Consider the following 16902-nt stretch of genomic DNA (forward strand, 5'->3'; position numbering starts at 1 on the left):
GAAACCCCGTCTCTACTAAAAATATAAAAAATTATCCGGGCATGGTGGCGGGCGCCTGTAGTCCCAGCTACCTCAGGAGGCTGAGGTAGGAGAATGGCGAGAACCTGGGAGGCGGAGGTTGCAGTGAGCTGAGATCATGCCACTGCACTCCAGCCTGGGCGACAGAGCGAGACTGCGTCTCAAAAAAAAAAGAAAAAAGAAAAAACAATATTTAAAAAATACATAAGTAAGAAAATAACTGTGCTGTAGAGAAAGAGCTTACTAAAATGGCGCTCAAAAGAGATGGATGCACAGACCACTGCTCTTTAGTAAACAGAATGTGTGTGGGTAAAGACTTGGGTGGGGTGGGGAGGTCAGTCAGCATAGCCATACTCTGTTGGTGGGAAAGAGTCAATATTTAACATTTATTGAGCACTTGCAATGTTCATGGGGGTTAAAGAGATAACTAACACTTGTTACCCAAGGAACTTATAGCTGGAGGGGAGGAAAAACTTTTCCTCTACCCTCTGACGTTTGTATCCGGGGCCTGTGAATTTAACTGACAAACAACAGATTACCAGGAAAGAATTCGTTTATGTGTACAATGTGCATACAAGAGGGAGTGCTCAGTGATGAGTAACTCGAGTAACTCAAAGGGGTGGTTAGAATGTGAGGCTTAGATACCTAATTTAGTAGGGGAAGAGGAGCAGGGAGAAAAGATTCCTATGGGAAGAACAAGTAGGTTTCCCCAGGGAAGACAAATAGGTGTTTTTGGAGAACAAATGGGAGATAAGAAAGTTTGTGATCATGTTTTTCTTTAAGCACAAATATATATTTTTTGTAGAGACATATATATATAATACATATATATAAAATACATATATATAAAAATACATATTTTATATATATATATATATATATTTTTTTTGTAGAGATGATTTCTCACTATGTTCAGCTCTCACTATGCTGCCCAGGCTGGTCTTGAACTCCTGGGCTCAAGCAATCCTCCTGCCTCAGCCTCTCAAAGTGTTGGGATTATAGACGTGAACCACCACGTCTGGCCATGTTTTTCTATATAGATATGAATAGTCTTTCTGTCTCCTTTAGGGCCATGAAACTTCCCAGAGAAGGGCTTTCTGGTAGATTTACTCTTGGTCTGTCTCCTAGGGGTAGAAGCTGCCCCAGAGAAGGAATTTATGGCAGTCTTCACTACTCAGACAAACAACCAATTAGCAAGGAAGAATTCGTTTACATGTGTATATGTGCAATGTGCATAGAGTTTCTGCCTTGAGTCAGATAAGAGAAGCTCCAAGAAGGCTTCTTTCTGCATCTGTTGAATCTCAAATGTCTTCAGCTTAAAATAATCTTTATATCAACTCTGGGGGGCCACGTGGGCCCCCACATAGTCTAATATGGAAGATAGACATATAAGCCAACCCAACCACAGTAAGATATTTAAGGAGGCAGTGCAGTGTGTGGGGAGGAGTTCAGAACACTAGCTTTGGTGTCAGCAGGACTTTGATACAAACCCAGGCTCTACCACAGAGCTGTGTGACCTTGGCCAAATAACTTAACCTTTCAGGTCTCAGCTCCCTCACTGGAAAAATGGGGCTAATAAGAGTCCCCGTCTCATTGGATTGTCGTGAGGAGTGAATGAGATGACATAAATTTCTAGCATAGCACCTGGAGTGTAACAGAGACTAAGAAAGATCCATTACTGCTAAACTGTTTGTATCCGGAGATCTCAGCAATGTGGGAGAGAGTGTTACAGCAGGTTCATTAAGTATTTCAATAAATATATATGTTTGGGCACTTGCCCATTGCGAAGAATTGTTCTGTGAAAAACAGACATAATTCCTGTTCTCATGGAGTTTACAGTCTAATAGAGGAGATGGATATCAAACAAATAATGCCATGATAAATCTATCATCGCAAACCATGATGAATGCTGTGGAAGAAAAGAACAAGGTGCTATGAGAGATTATAACAGTGATATTTTATCTAGATTGGGGAGGGGCGTGGCCCAGGAAAGGCCTATCTGAGAAAGTGACATTTAAGATGAGAGTGTAAGGATAATTTTGAGTTGATGAGGTAAAGAATGTTCCAGATAGACAGACCAGCCTGCACCAAGGCCTTGGGGAGGATGTAGCTCGGTGTGTTCTGGTACCTGAAAGAAGGCCCCTGAGGTGGGGTTGGGGAGATGGGCAGAGATGAGCCTGGGAGGTGAGCGTGGACCTGCTAGTTATTTGTCTGTGCAATCCATTCTCTATCCTCTGTCCTGCCCTCTGCCCTTCTGACCTCTAAGAGCTCCATGACCTGCATTCTCATGGCTTCTGGCTTCCAGAGGGTTCTGCCAATTTTGTGAGGGGATGCAAAGATGGAAGAAAGAGAAGTCATGGTACTTCTTCCCCTGCACACCTGCTTTGTCACATGCTTCTGGCATTGGGCCCTCTGTGGCCACTGCTGGTGTCAGGCAGCTCCCCTTCTGAGTTTCCTTCCCTTGTCTCTTCAGGCTTTGGGTGGCAACGTCTTCACCGTGATGTGAACCCCTGGATGCTTGCCCAAATGCTGTTGGCTTCCTCACCCTGCTGGCACTGCAGTAAACTGTCTCCTCACTACGGGGTCTTTGGCTACACTCCTGAGAATGCCAGTGTTTCCTGCTGGGACGCTGACTAACATAAGGGGTCACAACATGGAAGGAATTGTATGTCAAGTTAAGGACACAGCCTTCTTAGATTATTTTAGGTGCAACAGGAAGCTACAGACATGCTATAGTCACTTCCATGTCCCTTTATCTTCTCCCAGCTGTAGCCCCATTTCTCTGCTCCCTGTAACAGAAGGCTGTCCTCTTCACAAAAAGGCTCCTCTTCATTAATTCCTAAGCTACAGTTGACCACTTCTTCCTTCTCAAAATTCCTCTCTTAGCTTTCATGGCCCCAGAATCTTCTGGTTCTTCTTGTATTTCAGGCTCCTTGGAAAACTTTCATTTTTTCTCTCCCAGCTTCTAGATATTGGCAGGGTGGGGTCTCTAGGGCTTACTTTTCTCCTTTGCTGCCAATGTCAACCACAGTCATCTCTCTAGATAACTGAACTATTGCAAATACCTGTATTTGTCTCTCCAAAAATCTTTTTTTTTTTTTTGAGACAGAGTCTCACTCTGTTGCCCGGGTGGGGGTGCAGCCATACAATTGGCTCACTGCAACCTCTGCCTCCTGGGTTCAAGCGATTCTCCTGTCTCAGCCTCGCAAGTAGCTGGGATTACAGGCACCCACCACCATGCCTGGCTAATTTTTGTATTTTTAGTAGAAATATGGTTTCGCCATGTTGGCCAGGCCAGTCTCAAACTCCTGACCTCGAGTGATCCGCCCACCTCAGCCTCCCAAAGTGCTGGGATTACAGGCGTGAGCCACCACATCTGGACTCCAAAAGCCTTTTGAATCACAAATTCGACCACATTACTATCTGCACAAAATACTTCCATGGCTCCCCATGGCACTTGGAATCCAAACTTGATCTACCAGGTGTCTATACCTGATACTGTGACCGCTTGTGGATTGGGACTAAGGCCAGTTCCCAGAAAAAGGGGTGATGGTGGCCATAGGCTCAGCAGTTACCACTAAAATTGGTCATTGACACTGTGGCAGTACAGTATTCCCCCCATCCTAAGAGGATATATTCCAAGAGATGCTTGAAACTGCACATAGTACCAAACCCTCTATACACTATGTTTTTTCCTATACATACATACCTATGATAAAGTTTAATTTATAAATTAAACACAGTGATATAGTTTGGCTATGTCCCTACCCAAATCTCTTCTTGAATTGTAGCTCCCATAATCCCCATGTGTTGTGAGAGGGACCCAGTGGGAGTTAATTGAATCATGGGGGTGGGTTTTTCCCATGCTGTTCTTGTGATGGTGAATAAGTTTCAGGAGATCTGATGGTTTTATAAAGGGCAGTTCCCCTGCACACACTCCCTTGCCTGCTGCCATGTAAGACATGCCTTTGCTCCTCCTTTGCCTTCCACCATGATTGTGAGGCCTCTCAGCCATGTGGAACTGTGAGTCCATGAAACCTCTTTTTCACGCCAGGCACCGTGGCTCACACCTGTAATCCCAGCACTTTGGGAGGCTGAGGTGGACAGATCACTTGAGTTCAGGAGTTCAAGACCACCCTGACCAACATGGTGAAAGTCCATCTCTACTGAAAATACAAAAAATATCCAGGTGTCATGGCAGGCACCCGTAAGCCCGGCTGCTTGGGAGGCTGAGGCATGATAATACCTTGAACCTGGGAGGCGGAGGTTGCGGTGAGCCAAGATTGCACCACTGCACTCTAGCCTGGCTGACAGAGTGAGACTCTGTCTCAAAAAACATGTCTTTTTCTTTATAAATACCCAATCTTGGGTACTTCTTCATAGTATGAAAACGGACTTGGTCGGGCACAGTGGCTCACACCTGTAATCCCAGCACTTTGGGAGGCCGACACGAGCAGATCACCTGCAGTAAGGAGTTCAAGACCAGCCTGACCAACATGGAGAAACTCTGTCTCTACTAAAAATACAAAATTAGATGGGCATGGTGGTGCATGCTTGTAATCCCAGCTACTTGGGAGGCTGAGGCAGGAGAATCGCTTGAACCTGGGAAATGGAGGTTGCAGTGAACCGAGGTTGTGCCATTGCACTCCAGCCTGGGCAACAAGAGCGAAATTCTATCTCAAAAAAAAAAAAGAAAAAAAAGAAAGTGGGCTAATACGCGCAATAAGAGATTAACAACAATAATAATAAATAGAATAGTTGGCTGGGTGTGGTGGCTCATGCCTGTAATCCCAGCACTTGGGAAGGTTGGAAGGTAGGAAGACGGCTTGAGCCCAGGAGTTTTAGACCAGCCTGGGCAATGTGGTGAAACCCTGTCTCTACAAAAAAATACAAAAAATTAGCCTGGTATGGTGGCACATTCCTGTAGTCCCAGCTACTTGGGAGGCTGAGGTGGGAGAATAGATTAAGACTGGGAGGCAGAGGTTGCAGTGAGCCAAGACTGTGCCACTGCACTTCAGCCTAGGTGACAGAATGAGACCCTGTCTCAAAAAATTTAAATAATAAAAGAGAACAATTATAACAATATACTGTAATAAAAGTTATGTAAATGTATTCTCTCTCTCTCTGTCAAAATATCCTATTGTTGGCTGGGTATGGTGGCTCATGTCTGTAATCCCAGCACTTTAGGAGGACAATGCCCAGGATTGCTTGAGCCCAGGAGGTTGAGACCAGCCTGGGCAACATACCGAGACCCTGTCTCTTAAAAAAAAATTAAGAAAAAGATCCTGTTGTACCATACTCACCCTCCTTGTGATGATGTGAGATAATACAATGCCTACTTGATGAAATGAAGTTAGGTGAATGTCATAGGCATTGTGGTGTAGTATTAGACTAGTAGTGACCTTCTGATGATTCATCAGAAGGAGAAGCATCTGTTTCAGGTGATCCTGGATCATCCAGCCATGACAATATCCATGGTTGGATGTCAGGAGCAGAAACTCTCCATGACTAACGGGCAGTGGTAGACAGCGTGGATCCACTGGCCAAAGGAATGATTCACATTCCAGGTGGGATGGAGCTGGATGGCATGAGATTTCATCATGCTACTCAGAACGGCTGCTCAGAACATTGAGCAATTTAAAATGTAGTATTGTTTCTTTCTGGAATTTCCCATTTAATATTTTCAGAGTACAGTTGAGCGTGGGTAACTGAAAGTGTGGAAAGCAAAACTGTGAATAAGAGGGGACTTCTGTACATTCTTCTTTTACATCATATTTATATTCTAGCCAATCCTTCCTGAGAATCAGTCTTCAGGGTATTGATTGAATTTTTGTAGCACTTTAGACTTTCTGTTTAGATTTGGAAGTCACCAAGGTTTGGTTCACAATTCGTTTACAAGCCCTCCCTGCAGTGAGGTTACTTCTTGATATTCTCATTCTTTGCTGTGTTAATTTGACTAATTTCAGAACATACTCTTTTCTTCTTTTTAATGCTACGTATCTATTCTGGTGACACCCTGTTATTAGAGAATACAAGTGTCATGACTTTTGTTTTGCTTTGTTTGGAAGTGGTGTCTGCCCATGGAAACTGATTTTCCTGTGTGCTGGCAGTTCTCCAGGAGGATCACTTGCGTCTTATGGCCTCTGGTGGGTGGTATTCAAACCTAGTTCCTCTTGGGAAGGTTTATGAGAATTTCCCTGTTTTTGATGATTCATCCTGAAAAGTGGTGGGTCACTGATTGAAATCCAACATCTGACAGATTCAAACACCTATGGGGAGGGGAGGGAGTGGAAAGTAAGATAGCAAGTAGTAGTAGTATCATTTTTAATACAGATTTATTCTGTTTCTTCAAATTTTTTCTTTGAAATGTTTTTATTAGTTTTTTTAATTACAAAAGTAAAATATGGTCATATGTCCTCATCTATCTACCCTTTGATGCAGCAATTCAACCCGTAGGTACTTATCCAAGAGAAATAAAAAGCTATATCAAAATTCTCATGTAAGAATGTTCCATAGCAGCTTTTTTCACAATAGCCAAAAACCAGAAATGACCCAAATGTCCTTCAACAGGGTATGGATAAACAAATTGTGGAATATCATTGGAATAGACTATGACTCACCAACAAAAAGGAATGAATGACTGATATATACAACAACCTGGATGAATCTCCCAGATAAAAGTGAGCAAAGAAGCTGGGCACAGTGGCTCTGTAGTCCTAGCACTTTGGGGGCTGAGGTGGGTGGATCACTTGAGGTCAGGAGTACGAGACCAGCCTGGTCAACGTGGTGAAACCCCGTCTCTACAAAAATTAGCTGGGCATTGTGGCACGCGCACCTGTAACCCCAGCTACTCAGGAGGCTGAGGCATGAGAATTGCTTGAACCTGGGAGGCGGAGGTTGCAGTGAGATGAGATTGCGCCACTACACTCCAGCCTTGGTGACAGAGCAAGACTCTGTCTCAAAACAACAACAACAACAAAAAACAAACAAACAAACTAAAACCAAAAATTAGCCGGGTGTGGTGGCAGGGGCCTGTAATCCCAGCTACTTGGGAGACTGAGGCAGGAGAATCACTTGAACCCGGCAGGTGGAGGTAGCAATGAGCTGAGATCGCACCACTACACTGCAGCCTGGGCAACAAGAGCCACACTCCATCTCAAAAAAAAAAAAAAAAAAGTGAGCAAAAGAAGCTGCACACAAAAAGTTATGGCTCCGGTTATGTACAATTCTAGAACAGGAAAAACTAATCCAAGGCAAAAAAAAAAAAAAAAAATTACCACGTTTGCCTGAGGTAGACGGAGCAGTGAGAACAAGAGAATTAAAAGTAGGCTGGGCACGGTGGCTCTTGCCTGTAATCCCAGCACTTGGGGAGGCCTAGGTGGGCAGATCACCTGAGCTCAGGAGTTCAAGGCCAGCCTAGTCAACATGGCGAAACCCTGTCTCTACTAAAAATACAAAAAATTAGCCGGGCGTGGTGGCATGCACCTGTAGTCCCAGCTACTTGGGAGGCTAAGGCAGGAGAATCATTTGAACCTGGGAGATGGAGGTTGCAGTGAGCTGAGATCATGCCACTGCATTCCAGCCTGGGTGACAGAGTGAGACTTCATCTCAAAAAAAAAAAAAAAGTAAAAGTAGAGCCAGGTATAGTGGCATGAGCCCATAGTCTTAGCTACTTGGGAGGCTGAGGCAGGAGGATTTCTTGAGCCTGGGAATTTGAGACCAGCCTGAACAACACAGTGGAATCCTGTCTCAAAAATAAACAAATAAATAAAAGTAATATACATTCATTTTAACAAGCAAAACAATCCACCTGTATAAAGAAAAATTTAATATGGTAATTTTGTTAAAATCTCAGTATTTTTTTTCACACTCCATCCATGCTCAGACAGATACAAACAATAATACATGCACATATGTAAATTTTGTTTTGGGATCATGCTAAAGTGCTTGCTTTAAAAAATACTCAATAGTTTATCATGGATATGCCTCCAGTTCAATAAATATAGATGTAACTCATTCTTTTTCTCATGTCTCAATAATGGTGTAATACCTTAATATGAATGTACCATAATTTATTGAACCATTCTCCTATTGATGGATAGTCAGATCATGTATTCATTTATTTATTTATTTTTATTTTTATTTCTTTTTTGAGACAGAGTCTCGCTCTGTCGCCAGGCTGGAGTGCAGTGGTACAATCTAGGCTCGCTGCAACCTCTGCCTCCCCAGTTCAAGCGATTCTCCTGCCTCAGCCTCCCGAGTAGCTGGGACTACAGGCGCACACCACCTCACCTGGCTAATTCTTGTATTTTTCGTAGAGACGGGGTTTCACCATGTTGGCCAAGCTGGCTCGAACTCCTGACCTCAAGGGATCCACACGCCTCGGCCTCCCAAAGTGCTGGGATTACAGGCGTGAGCGACTGTGCCCGGCCTTAGATCATGTATTTATTTACCAAAAATTAAAAAAAATAGAGATGGAGTCTTGCTATGTTGGTCTTGAATTTCTGGGCTCAAGTTATCTGCCCACCTAGGCCTCCCAAAGTGCTGGGATTACAGGTATGAGTCCCCTTGCCTGGCCAAGTCAGATTATTTCTATTTTTGGCTTTGCTATGGTAAATAATGTTGCAATAAAATAAATATTTCTTGGCAGGTCACAATGGCTCACGCCTGTAATCCCAGCACTTTGGGAGGACGAGATGGGTGGATTGCCTGAGGTCAGGAGTTCGAGACCAGCCTGGGCAACATGGTGAAACCCCGTCTCTACTAAAAATACAAAAATTATCCGAGCATGGTGCCACATGCCTGTAATCCCAGCTACCTCGGGACACTGAGGAAGGAGAATTGCTTGAACCTGGGAGGTGGAGGTTGCAGTGTGCTGAGATCACGCCACCGCACTCCAGCCTGGGCGACAGAATGAGACTCCGTCTCAAAACCAAAAAGGGATGTTTCTACATTTATCTTTACATATGGTTTTTAGAATAGATTCTCAAAAATGGGTATAGGGGAAGATTTGTGTTTATTTAATTGGATATTGGCAGACTGTATACCAAAGAAGTTATAGGGCGGTTCTCACTCTCACCAAGCAACACATTGAAGAGCCTGTTTTGTCACATCCTCACAAGCACTGGATGCCATTGCTCTTTGGAATGCTTGCCAACTGGATTGATAAAAATAAGTTGCTTTGATTTCAAAGTGTTTATAGTTGAGGCAAACCTGTGTTTTTATACCTTTTGTAGAAACGCCTTTTAACATCTCTCCTGTTTTTCTGTTCTATTTCTTCTTGGTCAGTACGGCTCAGACCTGTCAAAACTGCTCTTTTAGGTGTATTGGGAGATGGAAGGCAGGCATCCAGGGAAGGAGTCATTCCCATCGCTTGTTTTTCTTCTGCTTCAAATACTCTGTCTAACAGAAAGAATGGAATGAATGATACACCCAGAGATCCGAAAGCAGTTGCAGACCCTAGTTCAGTGGCCCATGGCAGAGACACCAAAAAGAAAAGAGTGATTTACATCAGAAACGGGTTCCTCCAGTAAGATTGCCACCACCTTGCTCATTCTAGCACTGTGTTTCCATCCGCCTCCTTGATGTAGATGTAAACTGGCTCAGACAGAGTGAGTCAGAAAGGTCTTCCCTAGCTACTCTGCCTGAGGTTGGTTTTCTCTGTCATTCCCTGTCACAGTAGCCTATGTATTTTCATCCCGGTACCAACAAATGTCTGTGATTATTTAATGAATTTATTAATTTGCTTATATTAGGGAGGGCCACAGCAGAAAACAGAACTCAAAAGGGTTTTGTTGAACAGAATGATGGGAAAGAACTATTTACGGAGGCAAGGTTAGGGTTAAGGGTGTTATCAAGGGTGTGGAGGCACTTGTGACCCCATTACTTCCTGTTTCAGTTATCTATTGTTGTGAAAGAGACCACCCCAAAACCTAATGACTTTGAAAAACAAATACCTGGCTGGGCCTTATGCAACCTTCAACTCCCAGGGTTAGGCGATCCTCCCACCTCAGCCTCCTGAGGAACTGGGACTACAGGCATGCACCACCATGCCCGGCTAATTTTTTGTATTTTTTGTAGAGACTGGGTTTTGCCATGTTGCCTAGGCTGGTTTGAACCCCTGGACTCAAACGACCCACCTGCCTCAGCCTCCCAAAGTGCTGGGATTACAGGCATGAGCCACCGTGCCCAGCCTACTATAGTTTTTATCTGTCTTTCATATAAGAATATAAGCTCCTTGAAGGCAAAGCCATGGCCATCATGATTACAGCTGATTCCCTAGTGTCTAGCAAATGTCCAACACTTCCCAAGTGCTCAGTAAAATAGTAAAATATGCAGAATTAAGTTCACTTATCTGTGAATGAATCATAAACTCGACCTTTCTTCTTTCTAATGCTACAGAGGAAATGCCTGAGACTGAAGTAGGAAGATTAGTGAGGAAAAGAGTCGGTTGGTCCTGAAGCTGGATTTCAGCCACAGTGTCACTTTGGGGCTAGTCATTGTATAAAGTATAAATGCATACTCACTAGAGATTGGCATGGATGATATTAGAATGCTTCTAGAGTTTCAAGAACCAATCTGGTCTCCCTGATGATTTGCTGAGCATTGTTATTTCCTTACTTGGGTCCTTGATGATGAGCTTAGGTGCCCTGAATTAGTGATTTGCTTTCCTTAATGTAGCACCTGTGAGAAGCCAGAAGTTAATTTTATAAAAATTGAGATATAATTCACATATGATAAAATTCACTCTTGTGACAATTCAGTGATTTTTTTAGCATGTTCACAAGGTATGAAACCATTTCATTATCTAATTCCAGAACAGATGCACAGAACCACACCCAGCAAATGTTGCCTAGGCTGGTCTTGAACTCCTGACCTCAAGCAATCCTCATGACCGTCCCTTCAAAACCAGCATCCATCAGCAGTTACCTCCCTTCCCTGTTTCCCCCCAACACCTAGCAACCATTAGTATACTTTCTATGTCTATAGATTTGCCTATTCTGGACAGTTTACATAAATGGAATTATACAATATGTGGTATTTTGTGTCTGGCTTCTTTCACTAAAAGTGATGTTTTCAAGATTCATCCATGCTGTAGCATATATCAGTGCTTCATTTCTCTTTTATGTATGATTATTATTGCATTGTATGATATCCATACTTTGTTTAATCCATGAATCTTTTTTTTTTTTTTTTTTTTTTGAGACAGAATCTCCCTCTGTCACCCAGGCTGGAGTGCAGTGGCACCATCTTGGCTCACTGCAAGCTCCGCCTCCCGGGTTCACACCATTCTCCTGCCTCAGCCTCCCCAGTAGCTGGGACTACAGGTACCTGCCACTGCACCCAGCTAATTCTTTGTATTTTTAGTAGAGATGGGGTTTCACCGTGTTAGTCAGGATGGTCTCGATCTCCTGACCTCGTGATCCGCCCGCCTTGGCCTCCCAAAGTGCTGGGATTACAGGCGTGAGCCACCGTGCCCGGCCCATGAATCTTTTTTTTTTTTTTGAGATGGAGTCTCACTCCATCACCCAGGCTGCAGTGCAGTGGTGCAGTCTCGGCTCACTGCAGCCTCTACCTCCTGGGTTCAAGCAATTCTCCTGCCTCAGCCTCCCAAGTAGCTGGGACTACAGACCTCTGCCATTGCGCCCGGTTAAATTTTTTTTTTTTTTTTGGTATTTTTAGTAGAGACAGGGTTTTACCAGGTTGCCCAGCCTGGTCTCAAACTCCTGATCTCAAGTGATCCACCCACCTCGACCTCCCAAAGTGTTGGGATTATAGGCATGAGCCACTGTGCCCTGTCCCATGCAACAGATTTTATTTTATTTCATTAAAAAATTTTTTTTACAGACAGGGCCTAGCTCTGTTACCCAAGCTGGAGTGCAGTGGGGCAATAATAGCTCATTTGCAGCTTCAAAATCCTGGACTCAAGCGATCCTCCCACTTCAACTTCTCAGTACTCCTAGGACTAAAGGCCCACACCAGCACCACAACTGGCTAATTAAAAAAATTTTGTTTTAGAAACAAGGTCTCTAAAAAATATTCTGGCTATGTTGCCTAAGCTGGTCTTGAACTCCTGACCTCAAGCAATCTTTTTGCTTCAGCCTCCAAAGTGCTGGGATTATAGGCACGAGCCACCATGCCCAGCCCATGCAGCCATTGATATACTTTTGGGTTCTACTTTTTGGCTACTATGAATAATGCTGCTCTGAACACTTGTATACAAATTTTTCTGCAGAAATGTTTTCAATCCTCTTGAGTATATACCTATAAATGGAACTGATAGGTCACATGGTAACTCTGTGTTTTTGCTTGTTTGTTTTTTAGAGACAAGCGCTTGCTATGTTGTCCAGGCTGGCCTCAAACTCCTGGGTTCAAGCAATCCTCCTACCTCAGCCTCTGGAGTCTATATTTAAGTTTCTGAGTAGCTGCCAGACTGATTTACAAAGCGGCATTACCATTTTACATTCTTCCCAGCAATGTATGAGGGTTTTAATTTCTCCACATCCTGGTTACAATGTATTATCTACTGTTGCATCATGAGGTTTAAAAAAAAAAAAAGAAAAAGAGAAAAGAGAACTTACTATCATCTGTCTTTTTTATTGTTAGGTATGAAGTAGTATCTCATTTTTTTTTTATTTATGTTTCCCTGTTGGTTAGTGATGTTGAATATCTTTTTATGTGCTTATTTGCCATTTGTACTTTTTTTTTTTTTTGCTCTTGTTACGTAGGCTGGAGTGCAATGGTGTGATCTCAGCTCACTGCAACCTCTGCCTCCCAGGTTCAAGTGATTCTCCTGCCTCAGCCTCCCGAGTAGCTGGGATTACAAGCACCTGCCACCACACCCAGCTAATTTTATATTTTTGGTAGAGACAGGGTTTCTCCATGTTGGTCAGGTTGGTCTTGAACCCCCAACCTCAGGTGATCCACCCGTCTCTGCCTCCCAAAGTACAGTGATTATAGGTGTGAGCCATTGCACCCTCTGCCTTATTTATTTATGAGACAGAGTCCTGCTCTTTTGCCCAGGCTGGAGTGCGGTGATGAGATATTGGCTTGCTGCAACCTCCGCCTCCCGAGTTCAAGCAATTCTTCTGCCTCAGCTTCCCAAGTAGCTGGAACTACAGATGCACACCACCACACCCAGCAAATTTTTGTATTTTTAGTAAAGATGGCATTTCACTATGTTGGTCAGGCTGGTCTCGAACTCCTGAGCTCAAGTAATCTGCCTGCCTTGGCCTCCCAAAGTGCTAGGATTACAGGCATGAGCCACAGCGCCTGGCCCCATCTCTATTTAAATGAATGAATGAATGAATGAATGAATGAATAAAACTATTGCCTAATGTGAGGTCCTGAAGATTTACCCCTACATTTCTTTTTTTTTTTTTGAGACACAGTCTTGCTTTGTCACCCAGGCTGGAGTGCAGTGGTGCAATCTCTGCACACTGCAACCTCCACCTCCCAGGTTTAAGCGATTCTCCTGCCTCAGCCTCCCAAGTAGCTGGGATTACACACATACACCACCACACCTGGCTATTTGTTTATGTGTTTTAGTAGAGACAGGGTTTCACCGTGTTGCCCAGGCTGGTCTTGAACTCCTGAGCTCAGGCAATCCATCTGCCTTGGTCTCTCAAAGTGCTAGTGAGAGGTGACAATGTGTTAGCAGCCCTCGATTGCTCTCAGTGCCTCCTCTGCCTTGGCATCCACTCTGGCCATGCTTGAGGAGCCTTTCAGCCTACCACTGCCCCTCTCTGGGCTGGCTGAGGCCAGAGCCAGCTCCCTCTGCTTGCGGGTAGGTGTGGAGGGAGAGGTGCGGGCATGCTCACGGGCCAGCGCAAGTTCCGGGTGGGCATGGGCTCAGCAGGCCCCGCACTCAGAGCTGCCAGCTGGCCCCAGGCAGTGAGGTCCTTAGCACCCGGGCCAGCAGCTGAGGAGGGGGCACCGGGTCCCCCAGCACTGCCGGCCCACCTGTGCCATGCTCAAATTCTCGCTGGGCCTCAGCTGCCTCCCTGCGGGGCAGGGCTCGGGACCTGCAGCCTGCCATGCCCGAGCCCCCTGAACGGGGGGATCTCACGTGGCCTGAGCCTCCCCAACAGGTGCCACCCCCTGCTCCATGGTGCCCAATCCCATCGACCACCCAAGGGCTGAAGAGTGCAGGCGTGTGGCACAGGACTGGCGGGCAGCTCCACCTGCGGCCTCGGTGTGGGATCCACTAGGCGAAGCCAGCTGGGTCCTGAGTCACGTGGGGTCTTGGAGAACTTTTACATGTAGCTGGAGGATTGTAAATGCACTAATCAGTACTCTGTGTCTAGCTCAAGGTTTGTAAACGCACCAATCAGCACTCTGTGTCTAGCTCAAGGTTTGCAAATGCACCAATCAGCACTCTGTGTCTAGCTAGAGGGTTGTAAATGGACCAATCAGTGCTCTGTGTCTAGCTCAGGGATTGTAAACGCACCAATCAGCACCCTGTCAAAACGGACCAATCAGCTCTCTGTAAAACAGACCAATCCACTCTCTGTAAAACGGACCAATCAGCTCTCTGTAAAATGGACCATTCAGCAGGATGTGGGTGGGGCCAGATAAGGGAATAAAAGCAGGCTGCCCGAGGCAGCAGTGGCAACCCACCCAGGTCCGTTTCCACACTGTGGAAGCTTTGTTCTTTCACTCTTTGCAATAAATCTGGCTGCTGCTCACTCTTTGGGTCCACACTTCTTGTATGAGCTGTAACACTCACTGCGAAGGTCTGCAGCTTCACTCCTGAGGCCAGCGAGACCTCGAACCCACCGGGAGGAATGAACAACTCTGGACAGGAGGAATGAACAACTCTAGATGTGCTGCCTTAAGAGCCGTAACACTCACCAACAGGGTCTGCAGCTTCATTCTTGAAGTCAGTGAGACCAAGAATCCACCAATTCCAGACACATTTTGGCGACCAGATGGGACTATCGCCAAGCGGTGAGACCATTGCCTATGGCTGAGCAGTGAGACTGTCACCTATCGCCAAGCAGTGAGTACCATCGGACCCCTTTCACTTGCTATTCTGTCCTACTTTTCCTTAGAATTCGGGGGCTAAATGCTGGGCACCTGTCGGCCAGTTAAAAGCGACTAGTTTAGCCGCTGGACTAAAGACATGGGTGTCAGGCTTCCTGGGAAAGGGCTTTCTCTAAAAACCCCCGACTCTTCGGCGTTGGGAGTGTTGGTTTGCCTGGAACCAGCTTCTGCTTTTCCTGTACTTCAGGGCTGAGCTGAGGGTTGACAGAGAGGAAAGCCATTCAGCTCTGGGGTCCTGACAACAAGTTGGTTGAGCCTGTGGCCATGAGTGGAACTCTCAAAGGCATGTTGCCCAAGCGAGACTCGCCCATCTATCCTACCTATCCTGATCCTTGCCCTCTGTGTCCTAATGCCTGCCAGACAAACTTCCTCTCGCCTCTCTTCTCCGAGGCTAGTCCTGCTTCTAAAAATCGCTCCCTGTCTCTGGTGCTTTTCTAGTTTCTTCTATAAGAATGATTTCTAGTATAAACTCCAGGACTCTGTTACCTTCTTTAGACACCCGGGCTCACCAATCAGAAAGACAAAATTTTTGGCCAAAGACTCGTTGGGGGTACTATCTGGAATTTTAGGATCCCTCCTCAGACAAGTAGGCCTAACAAAAGCTATTCCTGAAGCTAGGATATGGGGAGCCTCAGAAATTGTATCCTTCCTCACTATTCATATAAGTGAGGACAAAAGGCATCACTCTTCCAACTCTGGGTTGGCATCACTCTTCCAACTCTTCCCTCCCTCAGGGCATGGCCCTCCACTTCATTTTATGGGCATAACATCTTTATAGGACATGGGTAAGGTCCCAATACTAACAGTAGAATGCTTAGGACTCTAACAGGTTTTCGAGACTGCATCAGTAAGGTTAGCCACTAAATCCGATTTTTCTTGGTCCTCTTTGTGGTCTAGGAGGACAGGCAAGGGTGCAGGTTTTCAAGAATGCATCAGTAAGGGCCACTAAATCCGACCTTCCTCGGTTCTCCTTGTGGTCTGGGAGGAAGACTAGTGTTTCTGCTGCTGCGTTGGTGAGAGCAATTATTCCAATCAGCAGGGTCCAGGGACCGTTGCGGGTTCTTGGGCAGGGGTTGTTTCTGCTGCTGTCAGTGAGCACAACTATTCTGATCAGCAGGGGCCAGGGACCATTGCAGGTTCTTGGGCAGGGGGAGAAAAAAACAAATCAAAACCGCAGGCAGTTTTTGTCTTTCAGATGGGAAACACTCAGGCATCAACAGGCTCACCCTTGAAATGCATCCTAAGCCATTGGGACCAATTTGACCTGCAAACCCTGAAAAAGAGGCAGCTCATTTTTTTCTGCACTACGGCTTGGCCTCAATATTCTCTCTGATGGGGAAAAATGGCCACCTGAGGGAAGTACAAATTACAATACTATCCTGCAGTTTGACCTTTTCTGTAAGAGGAAAGGCAAATGGAGTCAAATACCTTATGTCCAAGCCTCCTTTTCATTGAGGGAGAATACACAACTACGCAAAGCTTGCAATTTACATCCCACAGGAGGACCTCTCAGCTTACCCCCATATCCTAGCCTTCCTATAGCTCCCCTTCCTATTAATGATAATCCTCCTCTAATCTCTCCTGCCCAGAAAGAAATAAGCAAAGAAATCTCCAAAGGACCACAAGAATCCTCAGGCTATTTGTTATGTCCCCTTCAAGCTGTCGGGGGAGGGGAATTTGGCCCAACCCGGGTACATGTCCCCTTCTCCCTCTCTGATTTAAAGAAGATCAAGGCAGACCTGGGGAAGTTTTCAGATGATCCTGATAGGTACATAGATGTCCTACAGGGTCTAGGGCAAACCTTCGACCTTGCTTGGAGAGATGTCATGCTACTGTTAG

The 16902-nt window shown here is 45.2% G+C and overlaps 1 annotated feature.

The window, feature by feature from the left end:
- Positions 16013–16658: an enhancer, noted in NCBI's record as "OCT4-NANOG hESC enhancer chr5:157308515-157309160 (GRCh37/hg19 assembly coordinates)". NCBI's record gives its function as "activates a minimal SCP1, AML or CMV promoter by ChIP-STARR-seq in naive and primed H9 embryonic stem cells {active_cell/tissue: H9 hESC(naive and primed)}" and the evidence as "EXISTENCE:reporter gene assay evidence [ECO:0000049][PMID:30033119]".

The sequence above is a fragment of the Homo sapiens genome, chromosome 5 (genome assembly GCF_000001405.40).
Source record: "Homo sapiens chromosome 5, GRCh38.p14 Primary Assembly".
Classification (NCBI taxonomy): Eukaryota; Metazoa; Chordata; class Mammalia; order Primates; family Hominidae; genus Homo; species Homo sapiens.